The sequence below is a fragment of the Homo sapiens genome, chromosome 16 (genome assembly GCF_000001405.40).
Source record: "Homo sapiens chromosome 16, GRCh38.p14 Primary Assembly".
NCBI classification, from domain to species: domain Eukaryota; kingdom Metazoa; phylum Chordata; class Mammalia; order Primates; family Hominidae; genus Homo; species Homo sapiens.
In genome coordinates this window covers 62,810,338-62,837,895 of record NC_000016.10, presented here as the reverse complement: position 1 = coordinate 62,837,895, position 27,558 = coordinate 62,810,338, and the positions used below count along the sequence as shown (strand labels likewise).

The 27,558-nt window shown below is 37.4% G+C and overlaps 1 long non-coding RNA gene across 2 annotated transcripts in view; it reads right to left on the bottom strand.

Annotated features, from left to right (window-relative positions):
* Positions 1–2,193: 2,193 nt before the first annotated feature.
* Positions 2,194–27,558, bottom strand: part of LOC102723560 (uncharacterized) — a 110,046-nt gene continuing 84,681 nt past the window's right edge. For both annotated transcript variants that reach the window (XR_933663.3, XR_933661.3), the window contains exon 4: positions 2,194–2,336. This is a non-coding gene — a long non-coding RNA (uncharacterized LOC102723560). The remainder of the gene's footprint in view (positions 2,337–27,558) is intronic.

Below are 27,558 nucleotides of genomic sequence, written 5' to 3'. Positions count from 1 at the left end.
TCTATAGATTTTGCTTTAATTGTTTTGGCCTGTGGCTTTGACCTTAGGAATTTTAAAGACTGGATGATATGATTGTGTTGCTAAGCTTGAGAACCACTGCTTTAGGATCTTGCTTCTTAAAATCCTTGAAAATAGAGTGTATAAATTCTTAAAGATATTTAAATTGGTGTGAACTGCCATATTTAAGAAATAAAAGTCATGACCAAGAAGTCTCTAGATATCAAAATATCTTCAAGAGCATAAGGCAAATGTCAACTCTGGTGTGTTGCATAAAAGCAGACTAAGGTGCTACTCACAAACTCTCTCATTTGCCTCTTTTGTGGCTTTCTCTGATTTCCAATGAAGCCACAGAGATTACATGGAGGTGAGGGAGAAAGTTTGGTGTCCTCAGTCATCTGGGAGGACTAACTGAGCAAGCCTATACAACACACAACAGAATAAATGAACAGTAAATATCAGTTGACATCTCTCTAATCTCCATCAAAAACTGTGTAATCAATATGTGACGCATCAGCCGGGCATGGTGGCTCACTCCTGTAATCCTAGCACTTTGGGAGGCCGAGGTGGACGGATTGCCTTAGCTCAGGAGTTCAAGATCAGCCTGGAAAACATGGTGAAACCATGTTTCTACTAAAAATACAAAAACAACAACAACAACATAGCCAGGCATGGTGGTATGTGCCTGTAATCTCAGCTACTCATGAGGCTGAGGCACGAGAATTTCTTGAACCCAGGAGGCGGAGGTTGCAGTGATCCCAGGTTGTGCCATTGCACTCCAGCCTGGGTGACAGAGCAAGACTCTGTCTCAGAAAAAAAAAAGAAAAAAGAAAATATGTGACACATCTCTGTTGGGAAATGTCCTTTTGGGATGTCCCTAGAGCAGGAGTCTGCAAACCATGGCCCATGGAGCCGAATTCAGCCCACCCCTTGTTTTAGTACAGCCTTTGAGCTAAGAATAGTTTTTTAACAATATTATGAGGTGGTTGAAAAAAATCAAAAGTTGGCTAATTACATGAAATTCCAATACCAGTGTTTATAAATAAAGTTTTATTTGAACAAAGGCATGCCCATTTCTCTCCCTATTGTGTATTGCTTCTCCAGTGCTACAGTGACAGAGTACAGGCATTATGACAGAGACTATATGGCTCGCGAAGCCTAAGTTACTTATTATGAGTTCCTTTACAGAGTAACTCTGATGACCACTGATCTAAAGATGTTTAGGAAATAGCTGGTTTTCCCTAGAAATCAGTATCTAACACATTTATCCTATTCTGCCCTTATTGTGCCAAAAAGAAATCAAGCAATTAAAGAGTAGTAACTGCCACTCTCAATTTGAGCAAAATAAAGTTGATGAGCTAACAACAAAATTTCAAAGAAGAAAAAAGTCAGCATAATTTGTCTTTCAAAATAAAACAAACAAATATAAAATCTTCAATAAATTAGCATACCTATTCAGATAAAAGCATCAGAATCTGGGCACTAAGAATATCTTTCTGCTAGCAAATATATTGTTTGGCAAATGGACCAAAAATATATCTAAAAAACAAACTAGAAACTGAAATAGCCTAGATAGAAGGTACAGATAATCATACTAATAAAGAGAACACCTTTTAGAAAAAGAATTCTTATTTGGTATTGATGGACACGTGTATAACATTTTATTGGACAGAAATATAATGGATTATCTAAATTAAGTCTAGACGTCAAAAACTATTTCACATTCTTCTCGCAGGTAAATCCATTAATAAGAAACATTATTGACACAGAGAATTAAAACTTCTGATTTTGCAGCAACGCCCCATCTCAGCTGATTCCAAATGGATATGGGCGTTGCTGAGTCATATGTATTTTACTGATATCCTAGATTCATGTGTGCAACACATACTGAAGAACTGTGGTAGATAGCACTTGGCAAATTAATTCTTGAAGACATAAGATCAAGTCTTAAATCTATCACTCTGTAGCTTTTTACTTGTAGCAAGTTACCTAGCCTATCCATTGAATTCACATATTTGCAAAATAGAGCTATCAAATGTACATGTGGTGAAAATGTACTAAGTTAAAAAGTAAAAATAAGAAATACGAGAAAATGTTCTATAGAGAGTAATAAATGCCATAATTTTAATTTAAAAACAAGGCAAATATCTTTTTAAAAATATTTTAAATATTGACAAAATAATTTCCCACCTGTGTATTTGTGGGTATCACTGATGGCAGAGAGGAAGCAGTGGAGCTATACACAGATGCCAGAGAGCCTACCTTTTCCAGACTGTGTCAAAAGACCTCCTTATCCTCTGCTTTATGAGTTGGGTTTGGTTAACAGCCCCAGCAGTAGACTAAAGAGAGGAAGAAAAGAAAAGCCTCAGGTATTCTTAAAGATTAAGTTTCATGGGTCAGCTTGGCTATGCTATGATGCTGAATTATTTGGTCCAACAATAGTCTAGATGTCACTGTGAAGGTATTTTGTAGATATAATTAACATATACCATCACCTGACTTTAAGTAAAGGAGGTGAGTATTGATAGTGTAGGTGGGCCTCATTCAATCTGTTGAAGGCCTTAAGAGCAAAAACTGAAGCTTCTTAAAGAAGGAATTCTGCCTCAAGACGGAACTATAGAAATTGTTTGAATACTCCAGCCTGCCAGCCTGCCCTATGCATTTCAGACTTAAGATTCTAATATCAACTCCTGTCTGAGTTTCCAGTCTGCCGTTCTGCCCTACACATTTAGGACTGCCTAGGCCCTGCAATCACATAAACCAATTCCTTAAAATAAATCGTGTGTGTGTGCGTGTGTGTGTGTGTAACTGTCTTAAATAATTCTTATAATTATCTCTATATCTATCTATCTATCTATTTTTCTATCTATCAAATACAAAGAGATATCTCCTACTGGTCTGTTTCTCTGGAGAACCTGGCCAATACAATATTGGTTCCACTGCTCTGACTCTTTTGCAAGGTCAATGCAGGCATTTCCATGCCTCCACCCTAGTCTCAGTTCCCATTTTGTGGCCCTCTTTACCTCTCTTCTCAATATGCACTTCCAGTTACTGCTTCCTCTCCTTTCCCTTTTAGCCCTGGTGGTGATAAGAGAGCGCACCTGTTCATAGTCCAGATATTCTGCATTATATCTTTTGAATTCCTTCCATCTTAGGCACACAGTTGTAAACGTCTCTTAATTTACTTCTCTTCTAAATATCCTAATTTGAGTATCTTTAGTTTTCCCACTTGAATCTGGACTGATACAGCACTTCACAGGTGGTCAGAATAAAATAAGAAAGTCTCCATAAAATGTTGAAAACAATGGCTGCCCTATATTAATGTCCTCAACAAAATGTTAGCCATCGTTAGCCTGATTGTGCTAGTTTAATCTTCATTGCAGTGGTTTCTCGACATTCAATTTCTGCACTGATAAATATTTTTAAACATGTTAAAAATCTCCCTCATCTTTTCTAGATCCTGTAGTCTTTCTCCAGGGGATGCCAGCAGCATCTTGGCAGTAATTCAAAAGCTGCAGTAGCCTCAGGGTCAAAGATTCTGCCTCTCCAGGGGCCGGGGTCACTTCGGCTGTTCAAGAAGGGCCAGTTCCCTCCAGGCAATGTGGGGGGAAAATTATCTTTTCAGAAGCAGGAACAGGGAAAAAAAACCTCAATTTTACTGAGATGAGAATGAAGGTGGTGTGCAATGATCCACTCTACTTTATTCAACAAACAACACAAGATAAACCATTTTGAGGAAGGAGATAAAATAATATTTTCATTTTGAGCCCCAGAAAATTTATTTTGTGCCAAAATATGGGACTTAGTAAAATAAATACATTCTCATATCTGTGAGGGAGTATCTGTGAATTCTTCTTCCTCATCCATGACTCTATCACAGCAACACGTACATCCCCACCTGCCTATCCAGGCTCTAGTAACCATTTTCCACACTGCAGCTACGACAGGCAGTCAGGCCGCTTTCCTGTTTCAATGTAGTTTAGAGAAAAATAATCAAAGCTCCTTACTCAGGTTGTAGCTTATCTAACTTCCAGCTAATCAGCAGCAAAAGACCCAAGAAGCTATTAAGCATAAATCCCTGCCTTGGGGGCTAGGGGATTCCCTAGGACCCCACATGCACAGTTAGATGTAAACTTCACCTGATAGTGAGCTTTTCCTCATTTTAATGCTAAAAATCATGCCTGGCAGTGGAGATTTAAAATGCCAATGTTGGCTGGGCACAGTGGCTTACTCCTGTAATCCTAGCACTTTGGGAGGCCAAGGAGGGTGAATCACGAGGTCAGGAGTTCGAGACCAGCCTGGCCAAGAGTGTGAAACCCTGTCTCTGCTAAAACATGCAAAAATTAGCCGAGTACGGTGGTGAGTTCCTGTAATCCCGGCTACTCAGGAGGCTGAAGCAGGAGAATCACTTGAACCCAGGAGGCAGAGGTTTCAGTAAGCCGAGATTGCACCACTGCACTCTAGCCTGGGAGACAGAGCAAGACTTCATCTCAAAATAAATGAATGAATGAATAAATAAAATGCCAATGTTACATGCAAAGTATGCAGAAGCCTGTGGAGCTACCGTGCAAGCGCTAAAGAAACCCCTCCTATAAAAACGTTGATGAAACCCTTTCCTGTAGAAAGGCCACTTAAAACTAAACCACCTACTATCCTCAGAGAACAGCCCATCCTTTTCCTTTTGTGGTGCTGGCTCCCTTGTGCACAAGCTCAATACAATTTAACTTTCACTTTGCTGCCATATCTGGTGATCTTTCTGATTCTAACCTGGGAGATTATAAGAACCCAGGGCACAATCCCGGTAACAACAAAGCTTGAGTCATGTTCCGAAACCAAGGATCTTCTCCTCAGCTTAACATTTGTTTCCATTGTTGACAGGATAAAATACAGGTTACTCAGCATGACCTCAAAATACATTTATAGCCTCATGTTCAATTCAACTCAATCACTTGGAGCTCTCTGGGCATCTGGGTGTATTTTATACTGTTATTATTTGGGATGTATGTTTGCTTAAATTTATTTCTCCCTTATCTTTGTAGATCTCCATGTGTCCATCCCTGGCTTATCTGTCCAGCTCATACTGTTGTTTCAAGTTTCAGTTAGGTCGAAAGGAAGCCTCATCTGTTCCCCAAATTTAAGTAGATACATATTTCTGTGTTACCATAGCTCAGGATCCTCAGCCTACCTTCCTGTACTATGCCTCATCCCATCCCTGAATATTATAATTGTTTTGGCATAGAGTCAGCTTTGGATAAAACCTTGGCCAATTAATGGACAAATAAACGAATGAAGAAACAGGGGAGCCAAGAAATGTAAATGAATATAGACTCTTCTTATCATTATGTTATTATCATTATTTTTTTTTTTTCTCTACCAAGCTGTTCAGTGGTAAAATTTTGAAAGCCTGGGGTGGGTCTGACAGCTTTCTCGTCTCAGTAAAAACCCCTCAACTCATACCGTTAGTCTCTAGCTAGTCCTCAGAATTCAACCAGCATTCCCTGAAAGCCCTCATTTGCATGTCTTTGTTCATGTTCTTCTTTAACCTGGTATTACTCGACATGCATCTTTCAAAGTCTATAGAAAAGCAATTCATCATTGGCCTTTACCATATTCTCTACTCACAATTAATCTCTATAAACTTTCTTATCCTATTAAATGTAGCTAATACTTGAGAGACGTGATACAATCTAATGACAATTAGATTTGAGTGACGACCTAGCCAACTTTGTAACTTTAACTGTGGAAAGTAGTTTGTTCTCTCTGAGCCTTTGGTTCTTCATCTGAAATGTGGTTACAATCTACTTATTTTGCCTCTGGGTTATTAAGACTACATGCAAATCGGTGTGTGAAATAAATTAGCACAACCCTGGCATATAGGGAGGTAATGAACATTTATTATACATATACTCCTTGAAATCAAATGATCCTAGAAATTTAATTGTCAATCTAGTATTAAATTTTGAAATAAATCTGCTTTTCATTTAAAATAATTAGCTATATAAAGTTTTACATTTTAAAATAAGCTTTACATTAATGATTCTTTATAAATGTCTTTTCTTTAAAAACAATGATATAGTAATTGTGTTGGCAGCCCAGCATTTTGGAAGTACTAGTCTCATTGAAATGCAATTGCCGTCTGCTTGCTATTCACACTTGATTCCCACTTGCTGCTTGACCTCTTTTAAATAGGGACATCCATTTTCATCTTTGAATTTATTTGTTTTATGAGGTCACTGACTGCATTAGCAATGTGTGTGACCAATGGGGAATGCTTATGACTGAGAAGGGCCAAATGAGGGAACAGCAGTTCAGCATCTTTAGGGCCCATGATGGGAAGAGGAAAAGAAGAGAGGAGACAGGAGAATAAAAAAAGAAATTAGGTTCTCAGCCAAATCCACAAAGAAGAGATTGAATCAATTTGTCTGGAACCTGATCAAAATGCAACAACCTTTAACCTTCAGCACATTTAGGGCAGAGTTTGCTGCAAAATTCCAAATGGCTTTGCTAGTAAAAGCAATAGCTGATTACGTAGCCACAGGTTTTGTTGTTGTTGTTGATTTCCAGTCATTTTTATTACTATAACAAACTGAAATTTCAAATATTAAAGTCAGGTTGTTCTTTATTTGAGAAGTAGAGAAAAAGAACACCAGAAATGAGACTTTCCATCTTTCTACTTACTATATTACAATATTTCAATGTACCCAACAATAAAATCTTACTTTTCCAATTTGGTAACAGGATAAAAAGCAAGGTGCTCTATCTGGGAAAAAGAATCAAAGGAAATCTGTTTGATAACAAATATATTCTATAGTTTCTATCTAAAACAAGCAAATAATTTGGTGATTATTTGGCAAATATGATTTATTTAAAAAGTGTATTGATGATACTCCAATGGATTTTATTTTGGTCTAGAAAATTCTGAAAGATTGCCTGCCTTAATCAAATCAATTAGGTAATTTCTAAAACATAGATTTATTTTTGAAACTATATATATTCTTGAAATTATCAAAGTTGTTTTGTTTTTGCATTTCAATTAATCATTGGCAAATTATTGTCAACAGCAGAAACCTTCTTTGGAAGAAAAATGGAAACCTTATATAAAACCTTATATAAAACCCAAATATGTGTGTGTGTGTGTGTGTGTGTGTGTGTGTGTGTGTGTGTGTATAAAATCAGAATTATATATATTTGTAATCAGAATATATATATATTCTTTTGTAATTAGAGCCATTTTAAATGAAATAAGGGAGAGTTCTTGAATTCGCATATGTGAAAACAATTAAAATTCTACTTCATGTCACTCTGAGTAAAGAATCCTAACCTAGAAATTCAACAAAGTTGTACAACAATGGAGCAAATTTAGAATGTTTAGACTTCTAGTCTAATGCCCTTTCTGAATATGTTCAAAAGGAAGTCCCTAGATAGAATGCATCAGGCTCACCTCGTGCACATGTCAAACATAAGCTACAGTTTCCTGAGCCCCATCTTAGATTCACTGAATCAAAATCATCCACGGCCCAGGATTTTATTAGGTCTCAATATTATTCTTAGTGTACTTTGAAAATTAGGAAACAGTCTTCTTTTTACTCCAACAGAGTCTCCTTTAATCCTTTTTGAATGTTTTGTAGGCATTGCATTAAACTTGCTTTCTTTCATCTATTTACTTATTTCACTATTTTGTAATACTTATTATGTGTTGGGTATTGATTGTACTACGTGCTGGTCATACAATATTAAGCAAAACATTCAAGGCCTCTTCTTTCATGAGGAATTAAGTAGACCGAACATTAATGAAGCTACTCAAACAGTTTGACAGGTAACCAGTAAGGCTGTTGCAATATTCTTCCTGATAAAGGAACAATTAGAAGCAGTATGTTAAATTGTAGCACTTACCTAATGGTGGTCTCCCTTCCCTAGAATTTCCTGAGATAATTTGCAGTAGTTTACATGGTGGTATGTTAATATGCCTTTTATTTCTAGTAATTCCCCATTGATTTTTTTTTTCTTTGTTTCTTCCTCTTTTTTTTATCACCACCAAGAACTTCTGTTTCTTGGTCGCAGTGGCACTACATGAGTTACCATGGTAACAATGCGTTTTGGAGGATAACAAAAGTAAATATGCATGTACTATGTCAGCACATCAGTTGCTAATTCCTGGAGGAGGGCTGAAATTGTGTTTAGCAGGCTTTTGCTTTGAAAATGGTCCAAGTTTTGTTTTTAAATATATTTTCTTAATTGAATAGTTGCAGTTTATTAATTAGAGTCAAGAAAGACGCTTTTTAACAGCCATGTAGAAAGGGTCAGAGAGAATAAAATGTATCCTTTAAAGACAAACATGATTTAATGAATTTGGTAGAAGGGACTAAATTAGTCATGCTAAAAAAGATCAAAATGACATACAATATTGTGTACTCCAAAGAGACACTTTCATTGATTTCTTAAATTCGAGGAACAGAGACATAAATACAGTCAGTATTTATTTAGTATAACATTCTACATCAGAAAAACAGAATAAGATAATGTGCAAGCCCAAAGGATCCTGGGAAGCCATCCAAGTCCAAGGTAACACAGTGAGTGAGTGGTAAAGCTTGACCTTGAACTGATTCCTTCTCACTCAAAGTTCATTATTTCCCTCCATGAAACTTGGAGTGCTGCCTTTTAGCAAATAGGGTGTAATAACCAATGGTCCCATTCCCTGTTGTTTCCTTAGCTTGCTGCCATGGCCACCAGCTCATCACCTGTTACCTGCAATATTCCAACATGCTCCAAATTCTTTCCCCAGCCTTCTTTCCTGACCTCCCCAATCTATTGCCATACTTCTAGGGTAAAATGTCAAGTTTTCAAAGCACGTAGCATAGTGCAAACTGTTTGGTTTTGCTTTTCAAGGCATTTCCTATCGGGGACCCAACGTTGCGTTGTAGAATAATCTCCCACTGCTTCTCCAGTTAGCCCCTTGGTTCCACAGCTATCAAACTACTTGCTGCCCCTTGAACACTCCAGTTCTTTTTCCTGTTTCTATACTGTTGCTCAGCCAGTCCACTTTGCATAAGATGACCTAGCATGCCATGCCCTCATGCCACCCTTGGCATGCTAGAAACACTATACATTATTTGGCACACTGTATAGAGAACACCTTCTCTTCAGTATTTCTCTTGAATTAATCCACAGCACTAGCATAGCTAGCTGTTTTTGCTTTTCAGATTATATGGCATTTTTTACACCTCCTCTAAACATTTCACCATGTGGTAATTAGGGATTTACAGTTCCATCTTTTCCTCCTGACTGTGCTCAGGAGCAAGTACCATGTCTGACTCATTTTTTTGTGCCAGGGACAAGCACAGGACCTAGAACAAATCATGGTGAAGGATGGAGTGAATGGCCAGTGCTTCTGAGATGTAGCATTATTGTTCTTGACACCTGCCAAGCAGAAAATTGTACATAAAAACAAACAAAAATTCTTTTATTCTGTCTCTTGCAGCAGACCCCAGGAGGGTATGCTGATGGGTAAGAAATGAAATATTGCTTCACCTCCCGCCTCATGATCTAGTTATTTGTAACGGACCTATTCTCCCAAAGTAGAAGTTACTGCAGACCTGTATTGAAATACTCAAAGGAATGACTGGCTTTGCTCTTTGTATAATTTGCATTACTACACAACTGCATTGGTAAAGCACTTCTCATACAAAAAACAGTTTACTGACTATTTTTATAGGTCCAAATTATGTCATTTGGAATCACACACTTTAAATTTCCTTCTTCTTCCACATAAACACATTTTAGTTCTGCATTCATCTTAATCTTATCTATTGTCCAGACTATACTCTTAGCCCCATCAACTCTTTATCATTGGGCATAATATCTAGCTCATTCACCACTCTGATTGCACTCTCTGTAAGCAACCCATTTGGCAATGTTTCCAGTGACTAATTACAGCTGCAATTATACGTTCTGAACATTTTCTTATTTGGTTTAAGAAAGAGAAATAGGGCCGGGCGCGGTGGCTCACTCCTGTAATCCCAGCACTTTGGGAGGCCGAGGTGGGTGGATCATGAGGTCAGGAGTTCGAGACCAGCCTAACCAACATGGTGAAATCCCATCTCTACTAAAACTACAAAAATTAGCCGAGCATGGTGGTGGGTGCCTGTAATCCCAGCTACTCAGGAGGCTGAGGCAGGAGAATCGCTTGAACCCAGGAGGTGGAGGTTGCAGTGAGCAGAGATCGTGCCATTGAACTCCAGCCTAGGTGAAGAGCAAGACTCTGTCTCAGAATAAATATACATTGTTTTGATGACAACATTATTAAATGATAATAAAAGCCAGGCTTTAATTTTTTTCTATCAGGGCCTATGCTAACTGTGTTACATATACTGTGTCATTCAAACCTCCAAGATACAATCTGAAGGAGATACACTGACCTAAGTTAACAGATGAGAAAACTGAGCCTCCTACACAAGTGTCTTGCCCAAGGCCGTAACATTCCGAGGATTCTAATTATATGCTGTTGAAACTATATGTTGTTTAACATACAGTTAAAACTATAAACTATATGCTGTTTTCACAGAAGATTGAAAGCAACTCCTAGACCTTCTTTGTTCTATTTACTGTATTTTTTTTTTTAATTATCAAAGCAAAGTCAAATATTGTGTTAAAATCATTAAATTACTATGCTATAGTTCCATTTCAGAGATTCAGGGGTATCACTGAAATCCAACAAGGATGTGGATATACAGGATTACACAGGTAAGAAATGTTATAAATGCCCAGAAGAATGAATTCTGTTTCCTCATACATTCTTGACTAGTATAGGTTTGGCGCAATACAGTTTGTATATGCTTTGTCTTCTGTGGCCAAGGCAACTTCAAGAAGCATATTGAAAAAATTATCATTTTGATTGTGCTACAAAATACATTTTTCATCTACAATATACAATGCTGAAGTGAAGACTGACCTATGAAAACTATTCCTGGAAATCTGATGATTGTTTCAGATGGAAGAGTTGAAAGATAATTTTGCAAACTGTAACTGCCCTGGAATTTTAAAAGTTTTGAGTCAACTTTGACTTCCTGAAGTATTTCACACTCAGAAGCAAGGAAATGATACTCTTAAACATTTATCCTTTGTTCAGACACAACGATGGCCTTCATCTCATAAAAATAAAGCACAGTTAATATTTACTTTCTTCAACTGAAAATTTATCTTTTCTTTTGAAACTCCAATTATTCTATCTGCAAAAGATGTAACTGAAGGCAATAAGTAAGTAAATAAATAAAGGTCAGAAACAAGGCTGAATACGCAGAAAGTCCCCTGGTAAGGTAAAACAAGGCATGAGATTTAGAATTGCTGCCTTCCAATGGAAATCTTTTAATAAGTTATAGAAGGTGGGTGAATGAGCAAAAATAAAAATAAAAAAGAATAAAACATAATAATCAATAATAATCATAAAGGAAAGAAAGGCAATAAAATAAACTGAAGGTTCTCTGTTTTTTCCCATTAAAACTAGGGCTAGCAAAAAAAATCATATATGATTGTACACTGATGTACATAAAATTCTACATTCCACTTCAGCAGATTCCAGATTTCCCAGAGCTTTCTGATATACTTTCGGGTGCGTGTTGTTTGTGTATGTGTATGTGCGTGTTTCAAGCTATTCCTTGCAGTAAAATATAAATACAGTTGTCTCTTGGTATCCATGAGAGATTGGTTCCAGGGACCCCCATGGATACCAAAATCTGAAGCTGCTCAAGTCCCTTATATAAAATGGTGCTGTATTTGCATGTAACCTACACATATCCTTCCATACACTTTAATCTCTAGATTACTTATTAAACCAAATAAAAATGTAAATACTATATATTTTAGGTTGGTGCGTAAGTAATTGAGGTTTTTGCTGTTACTTTAGTAGCAAAAAACACAATTACTTTTGCACCAACCTAATAGTGTTTATACATATTTTCATTGTATTAATTTTTATTTTTGTAGTACTTTTTTTTTTACTTTTTGAATATTTTCAATCTGCAATTGGTTGAACCTGCAGATACTGAAGGTCAACTGTATAAGTTTTATCATCCAGATTTTACATATAAGGGAATTAAAGGTCAGAAATGTATTGTAACATATTCAAGACCATCGAATCAACAAAGTTGGAGATTTGACTTTCATACCAGCTGATGTAACTGCATGCCTTCCCCATACACATTTTAAACTGTCAATTTTGTAGATGTGTGTATGTTTGTGTGTGGCTTTGTGTGTATGTGTGTGTGTGTTTGCAATGTGAGAATAAGAATTGATATACAACAAGCAACATTTTGTATTTTTCTTTTTTCAAAACAAACATACACAGAAGATCATTTAACCACTAATATGTTGGAAAGGTATTAATTTCAAATAGGATGCAGTTAAAGTGAATAAGGTATGTATTCACGATCATGTTATAGTAAACGTACACCACTATTCTACCTACTACTCACCACTTCCTGTCTCCTTGACCCCATTTTCTTATTCAGCCACTGCTGTGGCAGCCACTCTGCTGGAGAAGCTAGCGGTACCTCCTTGCAGTCTTAGTTTCCTATCTCCTGTGTCCCACCTCAGGGTTTCTCTGACAATAAGGCACAGAAATTCAGCACAAACTCACTCAGCACCCATGGCCCTGCAACTCGGAATCTCATGGATTTGAGAAGTGCCTGGATCAAGAATGCTTTCTAGCAGGTCCAGACTGTTACAGGCTGTGTCACCACATGACCTGGTCATTCAATAATGCTAGAGTTATCCAGGCTGGATAAGATTGGTGTGTGGAATCTCTGGAAAGCTCCAATAGGAGGTTCTTAGATGAGATTCCTAGGATCTGGAAAAAATCCATGCCTTCGACAGAGGAGAACACCTCAGAATCTGAAAAACAGCTCCCACCCTGATGCTGGGCCCTGGTAGAGACAGAGAGAGACTGAAAACGATGGAAATTAAGTGTCTACATGGACAAAGCTGCCCATCATGACTTGTCATGAGGCCGAGCAGGTGCAGCAGGGGTCCACCATGGAAAGCAATGGACATGTTATACACAGGCTGGGACCATACTGATTTGGAAGGTGAGCATAAATTATACAAAGATGTGGCCCCATCTTCCACATCAACTACCTGTGTCTCACCAGTGCTTCCCTCGACTCACATACCTCCCCAGCCAAAACCTTGTCTTTGTTTTTATCACCAACTAATGGAAGAGGAAAAAACTTAAACCTGGTTCACAAATGGGTAAGTGTGATTAGCTGGTGCAGGCCACAGAGGGACTGCTACTTTACCAAGGGCCACCCAGGGGTGTTGCCAAAGGACAGTGATGAAAAACTTTCCAATGAGTGAAGCTTCGTGTAGCATAGCTAGTGATCAATTTTTTATAAACAGGTAAGTGGCCTGGGGTGAGAATATACAGGGAGCCCCTGGTGAATGGTTGGCTGGTGAGTAAAAGACTGAGAAGGTGCAAGACTGATTGGGATTAGGAGAAAGGAATTTGGAAGAAAGGTATGCAAATGAACAAAGAGAAGGCAGCACAAAGTTCGAAAACATTTGTGTCACGTGTTAATGCTCACAGAGTATCCACTGAAGAGAAGGCATCCAGGTAAGACATGAATACAGCTCACCACACAAGTGTTAGTGCACGGGCCCATGAATGGAATGGCCTTAGCAGCAAGGATGAAGGCTAGAATGGACCATACACCCTGGGCTCCCTCCCAACAAGTATGACCAAATAACTGTTAGCCCTTAATGCCTAAAACAAGCAGCAGAGCCCAACATGATCCCTCAAGATGATACCCTCTCTTTAATGAACCAATAGTCATGTAATGACAGGATAATTACTGGAAATCTGCACTGAAGAAGACAGTCATTATTTACATAAAGGTTTGCCTTTTCTGTTTGCAGTGCCTATGGAAGCACTACCAACCAAATACTTGTCAAATTCCTAATGTTTTCATGACATTCTGCACAGCATGTCTTCAGACTAGGAGACAAGTTTGTGGCAACAAATGTGCAAAAATAAACCTGTGACTGTAACCCTCATTCATTACATAAAATTAGAAAACCTTGGTAGGGTTTAATGGCCTGTACCTGTCATCTCAGCACTTTGGGAGGCCAAGGTGGGAGAATCACTTGAGGCCAGAAGTTTGAGACCAGCCTTGGCAACAAAAGGGAGACCCCATCTCTACAAAAAAAAAATTAATTAGTCAGATGTGGTGGCACATATTCACAGTTCTGGGTACTCAGGAGGCTGAGGCAGAAGGATTATTTGAGCCCAAGAGTTTGAGGCTGCAGTGAGCTGTGATTGTGCCACTGCACTCCAGCTTTGGCAACACAGTAATACACAGTCTCTAAATTTTTTTTTGAAGTAGACAACCTCAAAGAATAGTGCAATAATACATTAAAGGTTTAGCCAAAGCACCAGCTAAGGAACAAGTCCTTGAAGGATTCAGATGCCACACTCCTATATGTGATATTTGCAGAATCAACAGCTCTAATGTATAGTCCAGAGAGGATAGAATACATAAGCTCAGGAACCAAATTGTGGAATCAGGAACAACTCTTTTTACCTTTATTCAGTTTGACCTAATTTTATTTATTTGACTCAATTAAGGAAAACATAAAAGTACGCTTTTCATCCTCATGACCTTAGGCAAAACTATATTAGTGTTCTTGATCTGGGATGAGTGGAGGGGATCACTTCCACCAGAAGAAACAATATGTTTTCCACTGAATTTGAAGCCAATGCTACCACCTAATCACCTTGACATTCTGTCAGTGGTCCAACAGGCAAGAAGTATTGCTATTCTGATAGAGGTAAATGCCTCTGATTAGAATGAGCCCCAGTCATGCCACTGGGTTGTCTTTTGGTGCTTCTGTACCTGGTAATGTTAAGGTATAGGAAATTATAGGAACCACAGCACAGCAAGAGCAAGTCAAACATGGGCTCAGACTTCTCCTTTCGGGTAAAGAGTCAGGGTGACCCAGCTCTAGGACTAACATCCTACAGCAGCAGAAATGCTGGGCAAAGGAGAGTGAAATGTAAGTGCTGGAGTAGACAGATAATGAATTTTGTCTCTCTATCAGCCACAGCAGTGGAGTTAGCAACTTGTTCTACCAAACCTTCTCTAATGTTTTGCAGAGCCTGGCTATATTAGTTTTGCATTACTACAAAGGAATACCTGAGACTGGTTAATTTATAAAGAAAAAAGGTTTAACTGGCTCATGCTTCTGCAGGCTGTACAGGAAGCATGGTGCCAGCATCTGCTCAGCTTCTGGTGAGGCCTCAGGGAGCTTTTACTTACGATGAAGGTGAAGCAGGAACAGGTGTGTCACATGGCAAGAGAGAGACTGGCCAAGTGAAAATGTGGGAGGAGACAGGCTCTTTTAAACAACCAGCTCTTGTTGAATTCATAGAACAAGAACTCACTCATTACCTGAGTATGGCACCAGGCCATTCATGAGGAAACCGCCTCCATGATCCAAACATCTCCCATCAGGCCCCACTTCTAGTACTGGGGAATCACATTTCAACATGAGATTTGCATAAGTATCCAAATTACATCAGCGGCCTTCCTGATAGCTACTCTAGGAGAGACTGAAGTCAATGAAGGATACAGGCCAATGTGAGTATTGCAAAGTGCGCTCTTCTTGAAAGCTCTTACTGTGGCCACTATTGAAGCAACCAAATTCATGCATGTTTCATTAGCTTCTCTGCAATGCAACTTTGTTTTAGACCAATGCCAAGGAATTCTTTCTTCCTATCCAGAGACTTCTTTGATTTCACCACATGGGATGCCCAAGAGAACTCTAATGATTTATGCTGGTGCGATACAGAAGTATATGGGAGTGAAAGCCTTGGGGATGTTTTGACCAATGCATGATGGAAGCTCATAACTAAATGCTATTCATTTTTGTGCTGAGCAGTCAGTTTTCTGAGAAATTTCACCAGCCTCCTCAGAATTTGTGACTCAGCATGAGTGGCACAAATAAATGACCAACAGTGCATATTTATTATGCATTATACATACGAAAAACCATATGTTATTGGTTTTCCTTCTTTCTTGGTTACATTACTAGGTTTTTTTACTCCTGTGCTCTGGGATTATTTCCCACACAGACCACCAGCTTGCAAGCCTTTCATATGAGGCTCTGATTTTAGGGAACTTAGATTAAAACACTTGTATTTAGAAGTGTCTTTTAAAAATTATGCATATATATTCATGCATAACTTTCATTTTGCTGTTGGCAGTGGAAACTTTATTATAGACTCCACTGTTTGTACTCCTAAGCTCTATCAGAGTATCTTCATTGAGAACTTGGCATTTGACATAGTCTCGGGTACATGTTGACTTTCAATAGAAGTTGGAATGGTGTTCTTTTGTGGACCAATCACATCCATTTTCCAAATGAGTTTCTCTGTCTTTTCTTAAATGGTGTACAAAAACATGTGGCTTATAAATATTAGGCTTTGGGTAAAAACTAATACTGTGGATTCAAGGGGAGTAGTATGGGCCTAGCCACTGTAAGAATTTTATCAGATCCTATTTCATTAGCTGATAATTGTGTGTGATCCTATGTACTTGGTGGATGTGTATTCAATCTCTCTTGCCCTGTACAACACTTTGAGTTAGCCATTATGATGAACATATCCAGAGTAACACATTTAAATGCAGAGATGGGATTTGAACCCAGACCTTTGGACTCCAAAGACTACATTTTTAAAATTATAATGTATTCTGCCTATCACTAGACCACATTCTATTCCAGCAGTCTAGCTGTGAGGCATATACAGGGATGTAGAGAAGGTCACAGTCAACACAGTCATGCCTGAAGGGTATAAAAAAGGCTTGTGCATCAGAAAAATTACATCACATTTCATTTGAATAACTTGCAGGTCGACATTTTATAAAGTATATAAAATGGCAATAAAAGATAATGGAGAAAATAAAGATAATTCATTTTCTCAGAGGCACTGATCATCAGGAAAGGCATATTTTCTTTTTCTCCTTTGTACCAAATGGGGGAATTTGTTCAATATTCTTAATTTACATAAAATATACAATGCAGTTAGACACCTTAAGTGCTCCTTGCATTTAGTTCATTACTATAAAATTGTTTCCAGAAAGGAGAAACTTCTCCGTGTATTTTATTTACATTTTTTCAAGTCCAACTTTGAAGCCATTGCATGAATAATTCATCGGGCTTGATGTTTAACGACTTTGTACAGGGTTTTTTATTTCAAATTTTCAGTTGGTGCACACGTTTGCCACAGACTTGTCAACAATCACTTGAGGATTCACCTACTTTCCCCCATAAAGCAAGAGCTGAAGCTCAAAAGAGTCTTTCCTCATTACACATGGGCATTAGCCATTTCATATCATACTGAATGGACTAGTCACGTTTGCCGTCTTCCTTTAATATTTACCGTGGAAGTCAATTAGGTTTCAGTCACAATGAAACAGTGGCTGTAATCCACACAGAAGCAGCTCAGTGGAGTGGAACAGTGCACGGAGAAAAGTAAGAATGCTGAAATAATGGATTTAATAAGGAAGTGACTGTAGAAGTACCGGAATGCTTTAGGAAGAGATGCCTCAGTGCTGGGCACAAGAAATTAAACAAGAGTGTGGCTCTAAGTTGCCTCATAATAGTCCAGCTGGACTGGACTTCAGATGATACTTGAGGGCTTTCTCCTGACATTTTAAAACTACGTACTATACCAGCTATAGTTACACAAAGTATCTTATAAAATGTCTTTAGGATTAGCAGTAATCACATCCATTTATAACACCAAAGGGCAACACGGAACAGTGGGAAAAAGCCTGGCTCCGCCTCCACTACACAGTAGCTACATAACCTTAGAAATTAAGTTGAGATATTTGATTCTTACTTTTCTCAGCTATAGCCCAGAGGTCATGAAAAACAATGTATTGAGTTATCGTGTTTTTTAAAAAAATGATTTATCTATGCAAAGCACTTCCTATTTTCCTGATATATAGAATGCTCAGAAATAAGAACTATAAATCTATAACTGCTAATTAGCATTTTATAAATCAAGTTTAAGGTAGGAAACAAATAATTTGAGGAAAAAAATTGGGATACACTGTATGAACCCTAAGAGAATATCATTCTTACAACTTAAGACAAGTACGTCTTAAACTAGGATACTTTAGCAGTATCCTAGTTTGATGTAGAAATTGTGTACAGTACATTTTGAAACAGAAATGTTCAGACTCCTACAAATATTGTGATCAAAGTCTGTAGAGGCCCAGGCACCCACATTTTTACAAAAGCCCTAAAGTAAGTCTTACAAATATTCAGTCTGTTTTTGTTTTTTGGTTTTTTTTAAACTTTTTAAATTTTTGAGACAGAGTCTCACTATGTCACCCAGGCTGGAATGCAGTGGTGCTATCTCGGCTCACTGCAACCTCCAGCTCCTGGGTTCAAGTGATTATCCCACCTCAGTCTCCCAAGTAGCTGGGATTACAGGTGCATACCCACCATGCCTGGCTAATTTTTGTATTTTGTTTTTAGTAGAGACGGGGTTTTATCATGTTCGTCAGGCTGGTCTCGAACTCCTGACCTCAAATGATCTGCCCTCCTCAGCTTCCCAAAGAGCTGGGATTACAGGAGTGACCCACTGCTCCCGGCCTTTACTCAGTCTTGAGAACAGCAGAAATAATCAATAGTAATAATTATAATTATAGTAATGATAGATGTTTTATTGAATTATAAATTGCTGGGGCCTATGCCAAGTAGTTTAAATATATTATCTCACTGAATCTTTCCAGTATTTCTGGTCACTTTATTAGTGGGTAAACTGAGGCTCACAGAGGTTAAGTAATTTGCTCATGACCTCAGAATTTGTGAGTGATTTAGATGATATTCACACCTGAATCTACCAAGTCCACAGATGGCAGCCATTCCTACTGGGTGTAACATGACCCTTGTTCCATGTTGGGATTTTTTCAGTGATACAGAGTTTGTTTTCAAGCTCTCCAGACTTGAGCAATGAGAACTAACACTAATCATGTGCTTGAGCTCTGTTGGCTTCAAGTACACCTTTTCATATTTAATATGTGCCCATCTCATTTGAATCCATGACAAAAAAAAAACAAGCTGGAGGAAATCTATGGGAAATCATATACATCATGTCTTAGTCCTTGAATCTGGAGCTTGTGGAATCTGGAGCTTAAGTGAAACTGATTTCAAATTAATATCTTTCAAACATGTTGATCTCTCTCTTGAAATATAAAATACTTAGCATTCTATTTACTTCTGCCTGATTATTTTTATATTTCCAAACTCAGTTCACTAATTACCTTGTCCGAGTAGTCTTCCCTGAACTCGCAAAAGAGTGGAAGTTTCCAGTGTTCTCATTATATCCTGCACCATACCTCTGACTTTGCACTCATCACACCATAATATTCTATTTCCCATTATGTTTTGAGCAAACTAGATACTTGCACATTGATGCTTTTAGAAAGAGGAAAGGAAGAGAAAATGGGTAAAAGGAAGGGAAACCTGGATTCATGAATGGAATATGTGAAAGAAAGACCTGTAAGTACTAAAGATAGTGATTTCTAGGAAGCTTTGAGAATCAGGATTAGGAATATAAAATGTATCATAAATGTGTACATTAAGTATAGACAATGCTATATATTTTTGTACGCTGCTAAATTTATTTTGCAGTGGTTCCTTTGAAAACATTAATATCCACCCATTTCACTTACTTGTGATGACACATTATCTGCTACTAGAATGAGCTATAAGGAATCAAAGCTTCTCTAAAAGCCAACAGTCTTTACAGAGGAGACAGACAACTGTGCAACTAAGCAGGACCTCCGATGGAGTTAAATGCCAATGTTTCATTAATCATAGAGTTCAGTTTAGCAGACTTACAGATGCTCAGGTATGGCAGGAAGCTGAAAGAGAGAACTGCAATTTTCTCTGGGGTCAACAATAAAGGAGAAGTTCTCTGATGTGAAAAGGGTAAAAGTTTTAGAGAAAGAAACATTCAGAGTTAAATCTCAATTCTGCTTCTTTTCTGGTGTGTGGTTTCTAGTAAGTTACCCAACTTCTTTTATCTACAGCTTGGTCTGCAGTAAAATGGACAGTAACACTTAAAAGCTTTTGTGAGGAGGGGAGACAATATTAGTTAAATAACAAGAATATATAGACAATCAGTAAGTGAAATCACTCTCTGTTAGTTGTTACATTAAATAATACTATCAGTCAACATCAGAATGTACTTTTGAATGTCCACTCCTGCCGTGTGAGTGTGTGTGTGTGTGTTTGTGTATGTGTGTGTGTGTGAGGGAGGGAGGGGAGATAAAGAAAAACAGAGAAGGAAAGAAAGAGAGAGAGAGAAACAGCTGGTCTAGTGTGTTTCTAAGCCACCCTGCATTCATATTTAATGATAATTCCATTTCACTTTTTCTAACTGCTGCACATTTTGAGTATGTGTGTGTGTGAGCGTGCACGTGTGTGAGACAGACAGAGAGAGAGAGAGAGAGAGAGATGTGTAAGCTAAATGAGATTGATGGAGAAGATGGATTCCTAAATTGTTGCTAATGGTCTAGACATTTCACTGTTTTGTCAACAAAGCCCTATTGTTGAAGGCAATGTTTTCTCACTATGTCAATATCTCTGCCATGTTGTGTTGATATTAATGGAACTGCCAGGAAAGGAATTTAATTAATCATTTCCCAGAATAACTACTGTCAGCATTCATCTCCTAGCTGAAGGCATTCAGCCCAGTGAGGAGGGTCTCTCAGCACATGTTCAGGCCCCTTAGTTGTGTGGTGAGAATATATTTGTATAAGGCTGGTTGAGATCCTGAGAAAGAAATTAAGTTTGGTCTCTCAGATCTATAAACAGGTTATGCTTTGTTCCACAAACATTTATTCAGATTACTCTACTGTGCCGCTACTTTGCAGGATATCGTAGCAACAGTTCTGCTCTATGATAGACCAGATAGGATAATTACTTGAATCTAGGAAGGACACAGCGTTTAATAATACCCTGTTTCTGGTTGGGTATGATAGCTCACGCCTATAGTCCCAGCACTTTGGGAGGCAGAAGCGGGTAGATCACTTGATGTCAGAAGTTAGGGACCAGTCTGGCCAACATGGTGAAACCCCACTTCTATTAAAAATACAAAAATTAGCTGGGCATGGTGGCGTGCATCTGAGGTCCCACCTACTTAGGAGCCTGAGGTGGAAGGAACCCTTAAACCTGGGAGTTGGAGGTTGCAGTGAACCAAGATGGTGTCACTGCACTCCAGCTTGGGTGACAGAGCAAGACTCCACCTTAAAAAAAAAAAAAAAAATTGTTTCCTCTAAAAAAAAAAAGTGCTTAAATCTTTAGTATATTTTACATTTTGAGAACTCAAAGAAGGAGGGTGAGAAGTGTGCTCTCTCTCTGCTTACTTTTTTTTTTTTTTTTTGAGGCGGAGTCTCACTGTCGCCCAGGCTGGAGTGAAGTGGCACGATCTCGGCTCACTGCAAGCTCCGCCTCCCAGGTTCACGCCATTCTCCTGCCTCAGCCTCCTAAGTAGCTGGGACTACAGGCGCCTGCCACCACGCCCGGCTAATTTTTTGTATTTTTAGTAGAAACAGGGTTTACCCGTGTTGGCCAGGATGGTCTCCATCTCCTGACCTCGTGATCCGCCCGCCTCGGCCTCCCAAAGTACTGGGATTACAGGCGTGAGCCACCGCGCCCGGCCTCTCTGCTTACTCTTTTATGCTTCAAGAGTAACTGATTGGGTTTCTTTGCAGAGTCCTGGCTGGGCCACGTTTATCAGTGGGTCTTGCTCTTCTTCCATCAGTGTGGTTGAATGCTCACTAAAAACAAGGACATGCCCTCCATGGGACAGGGTCTTTTCTACTTTATACCGTGTTATTCTCCTGGTTTTTGTCTTCTGCTCCTGGTGTAAATAAACAACAAGCTGCTAACATACAAAGTTTCAAATTTAAGCTTAGGATGAACAAGCCCCAAATTGGGGTGTGGGGTTTATATCCTTTTGGCAAGTATTATTTTGTTAGATAATAAGGCATATCCTCCAGCTCAGTTTACCAGAGCTCTGGATGAGGGTGTGAGGCAGATGCTCAACTAATCATAAATTAGTACCTTGATTTCATATTTTCTTTCATGTATCTTTCCCAGGGATTGTATGAGGAGGAGAGAAGATAGGCTAATACAGAGTTAGATATTACTGAATCAAGTGAATCCAATTGGATATCTTCCCAAACCTACCTTACCTCCCAAAAAGAGCTAAAATAACTAACTCTTGAAATGAAATTATCTCCCCCACACATTTCATCCAATTACAGGATCTATTTCTTCCTTACTAAAATTATTTTGTCTTAGTGTGAACTCTCTCATAAGTTAAAACCTTCACACAAACCCAAACATTTCCCAGAAGGAGACTGTTATATGTAAAGAGATTTATTAATTTGTGAAAAAACACTGAGAGCTCAGCTTTCATTATTTTCTATTTAAATCATTAAATATGGGCACATTTTTGTCATCTAGTGACTAGCAGCAGGATAGAAGGAAAATTTTCTTATACCATCTGTGAAAATAAATGCACACCCAGGTCCCACAATAAATATATGTATCTTTGAATAAAACTAAAATACACCCTATAAAAATAGATAAATGAAAGCAGCAATTGTTTCTGTGGTGACTGCTTCACCAAAGCTGTGTTTATTTTTCTGTCTGCTTTCAAATATTCTGAAATAATAAGAGAGTGATTCTCCAAAGCTTCAAGTTCCATATGTTTTTCTGTGATAACTAAACTCTGCGTGGAGATGAATGAATGCATGATGTTATACATTGGAATTTACTTGGCAAGAGCAGGAAAAGAAAGAAAGAGTCAGTTTAATGTTTCTAATTGTCTGCGGAGCTGAAGGTTAAAATTTGTAGAAGAAAATAGTTACAAAGGACTAGAATTCAAAGGCACTGGGGGAGAGAAATTTGAAGTAAATAATATATCAAAACCAGTCTGGAGTCTTCTCTCTAGGAAGTGTCCTGTGTGGGATCTAATTTTAGGAGAATCATTTACTAAGTTCACGGAAAAAAATAACTTTCTTGAATAATTGTGATTGAACAAGGCAAGAGCCCTTAGGTGGGGAATAAGGGACATCATTGGTGGGATAGTGAAGTCTTCCCCACCATTATATTAGATAGCCATACCTACAGTCACACCACAAAAAGAGGTGAAGTAAGGCAATAATTTGGGGAGGATAGTCAAATATTTGTTCCCTGTATGTCTGTAAGGGTAAACAATGTAATTTTGTACTTTTAGCATCTCTCCATGCAGTACTTTTTCAAAATCAAAAATTACACACAATTTTATCTGCAGTTACATACAAACTTGGCTAACTAAAATACTATAAAGAGTACAAAGAAAAGAGAAAAGTGAGGCTCATTCAGAGGAAAAATCAGAACAAATAAATGGTATCTTCCAGATAGATTAGTACAAACATAGACAATAATTGTAATATAAATCTGTTTTGTTCCTTCTGGAAACATGGATGAGGGTCCCACACTGGTAATAGAAGTTGTGGTCTTCCAGAATGTGGCTGAGATGAGAAAGGGTGGGCAAAAGCAAGTAAAAATGCCACAAAACTTTCTTACCATTTTCAAGTTATCTTTATCTTAATTCATCATTTACTTGGTTGTTTTAAACTTTTGATTATTTTCCAGAATTCTGACAAAGTTGGTTCTAATAATGCTTGTTTGTCAATATTTCTGTGAAAGGATGTCTGCTTAGAACTGCATACTCTGCCATTTTGCTCAATAAGTTATCTAGTTATATGTTTTTTCTCTGTCATTATTTGTTTTTATGACTGTATTGGTTCAATTGAATTTATATTGTTTCAATTTTTAATAGACTTTATTTTTAGAGAAGTTTTAGATTCATAGCAAAATGAGTGGAAGGTACAGAGTTCTCATATATTGCAATCATATCCATAATTCAAGGCCCAGTCTCTATTTCTCACATGCTAGAAATTCTTCTTCAGTTATTTCCAGCAGATGAATACTCATATACTATCCTAAAGTTTAGAGTTACATAGAAATGTATCTAAGTTCAATAAACCCATTTTACCAAAAGGACTCAGAATTCCAAAGAAGAGTGCTATTCCAAAAATGTCATGGTTGCAGAGCAAAAAATGGAACCCAGATAATTTGATCCTTTGTGTACCTTATAGCTACTTTTAAATTCTTGGATTTATTCAAACATCATCACTTTAGCCCTCGTGGTTTGAATTTGATTATGCATAATTCTAAATTACATAGGTTATATTTTCACTGTTTTTGTGGTTAAATGGCAGTTGGACTGGACTAGTTCAATATACTTCAATATCTTTCTTGCCCATCTGTAGCTTGCCACACTGCACATTTATTAGGAGACATTTTAACTACTGGGAGTTTATTAAATAGCTTTATTAAAGAATAATTTATGTACCATAAAATTCTGCCCTATTTCTGTATAGTTTGATGTGTTCAGGTGAATGTATACATTCCTGCAGCCATCACCACAATCAAGATTTGGGACATGTCCATCATCTCTAAAGTTCACTTACGCCTCTCTCTAGTCACTCCCTGCCTCCTGTCCCAACTCAGCCCCAGGGAACCACAAGTCTGTTTTCTGTTGTTACAGTTTTGTTTTTTTTCTAGAATTTCCTTTGTGCCTGACTTTCATTTGGCATAATGATTTTGAGATTCATCTATGGCTTTGCCTGTATCAGTAGTTTTGCTAAGTGCATTCCATTGGATGGACGTATCATATTTTGTTTATTTTTCACCAGTTAATGGTTATTTGTATGATTATTTGTACTTCTGTTCCCCAGTGCTTTGGCTGTTATGGGTACTGATATAACATTCACACAAAAGCCTGTGTATGAACAATTGTTTTAATTTCTTAGAAATGCCTGGAAGTGTCATCGCTAGGGCTTACTCTTATGTGTATGTTTGACATTTTAAGTAACAGACAAATTATTTTTGTTAGTGGTTGTGCCATTGTGCAATCCCTCTGTATTAGTTTGCTAGTTTGGGCATAACAAAGTACCACTGAGAGAGTGTCATAAACTAAAGAGATTTATTTTCTCATAGTTTGATAGCTATAAATGCAAGATCAAGGTGTCAGCAGGGCTGATTTTTTCTGTCTGTCTTCTTGACTTGTTGTTAGTTGTCTTCTTCCTGTGGCTTCATATGGTCATTGTCCTGTGTGTGTATATCTGCATCTAATTTCCTTTTCTTACAAGGATACAAGTCATATTGGATAAGATTAGCAGCCATCCATTTGACCCTATTTAGTTACCAATTTAAAGGCTCCAAATACACATTTTGAGGTACTGAGGGTTGGGACTTCAACATTTGAATGTTGAAAAAAACACAGTTCCTCCCATATACCCATCAACAATGTATGAACATTTCAATTCTTCCAAATTCTCATCACTATATGATAAATAGTTGCTATTTTACTAGGTGTGTAGCCATATCTCATAGTGGTAGTAATTTAGATTTTCCTAATGACTAAAAATATTGAGCATCTTTTTGTATGCTTATTGGACTCTGTATATTTTCTTTTGTAAAGTACGTATTCAAACATTTCTTCATTTATCTTAATGTGTTGTTAGTCTTCTTACTGAGTCATAAGAGTTCCTTATATTTTCTGGATCAAATTCTTTTGCCATATATATATTTACTAAATAATTTCTTCTAATCTATAACTTGTCTTTTCATATCTTAAGTGTATTTTTCAAAGGCCAAAATATTTTAATTTTGATTAAAACCAATTTACCAACTTTTGTATGGTTCATGATTTTTGAGTCCTACCTAAGAAATTTTTCCTTAACCCAAGAATGCAAACCTTTTTTCTTTTTCTTAAATAAATGGTGTGAGAAAAGAATCAATGTTCATTTTATTCTGCGTAAATATCCAGGAATCTCAGTACCATTTATTGAAGAGGCTATATTTTTCCATTTGATTACTCTGGAATTTTTCTTGAAATTCAATAAATCATATTGTATAGGTTGATTGCTGAATTCACACCTCTGTTTCATTGTCTTCTCGTAAATTAGGCAGCTTAAATTTTTAAATCTTTTATTTCTAAAAACTATTTTAATTATTCTGTCATTTGCATTGTCATATAGTTTATAATTAATTAAGTCCTGGAAGTGTGATTTTTTTTACAGAAGACAACTCTCAGTTGACATTATTCTGATTCCCTCTTGAATAGTCTTGTCATCTTTATCTCCAGCTACGGTTTGCCCCTTTTTGCATTTATTTTGCTCCTCATATCATTTGGGAAATACAAACGTGTGTGTGTGTTTGGGACCCTCATCCATGTTTCCAGAAGAAACAAAACAGATTTACCTGACAATTATTGTGTATGTTTGTACTAATCTGTCTGGAAGATACCTGAAGAAGTTGTAAGGTGCCTGTGTCTGTTTTTCCTTTCTTGGAACTCAGGGCATAAAAACATTAGGCATTGCTCGAAAACATTATAAGGCCAATGAAAATCCCTCAGTTTCCTGGAGTAAAATATTATGGTTGAGATGCACACACAAAAAAGCTTCTTATAGGCTGGATGAAAAGCTAGGAAAATATATTTTTTTGCTGGGGAAAATCAGGGAATTAAAAAGTGCCCACATATAACGGAGAAACAAAGCCACGTACATGTCAAGGATAGGGCACATGCTCAGGAAAGAGTCGAGAAAACTCTAAGCTTTCACCACAGGTGGATCTCTTGGCTCAGTGCAAGCAGCAAGTGAGGGCTGAAGCAGACTTGTCATGACCTGGCTAAGTGCTAAAGATGTATCTCAGCACAATGCCAATTCATAAATCCTGGAAGTAGTATTGTGTTTTTTTTTAATTGTTGCTTTATTCAATTTCTGTAGCTCCAGGCATTTAAGGAAATCTGTGTCAAAACACTAGTTAAACACAAACTAAAGAAAAGAGACTTCGGTGACTACACATCACAAGGAAACAAGTCATTAATAAATATTAGAGAAGTCACAAAGCAAATGAACATTCACAACCTTCAAATATCAATAACAGCAAAACCTAGCAAAGGTGGAAAATCTGGTGTTCAGGACAGTTACATTATTGCATTTCTTGCTTAAAATGGAAAAAATACTGTAAAGACTACAAAGAGAAAAGTGAGGCTCATTCAGAGGAAAAATAAGAAGAAATAAATGGGCAAAAACAATCTGAGGAAGCCCAGACACTGGTCTTAATGAATGAAGACAAAATTAACTGTCTTAAATATGCTCAAAGAGCTAAAATTATACATAAATAAAAGAACACTATCTATAAATAAAATTATCTATAAAAATATTTTTAAATTAAATAGAAGTATAAATATTATAAGTAAATAGAAATGCCAGAGATCAAAAGTATAATGGCTTAAATGAAAAATGTATTTGAGGGATTCGACAATAAATTTGAGCGAGCAGAAGAAATAATCAGAAAACTTCAAAATAGGACAGTTGAAATTTTCAGTCTGTGTAGAAGAAAGAAAATAAGACTGAATAAAACTGAAAAAAA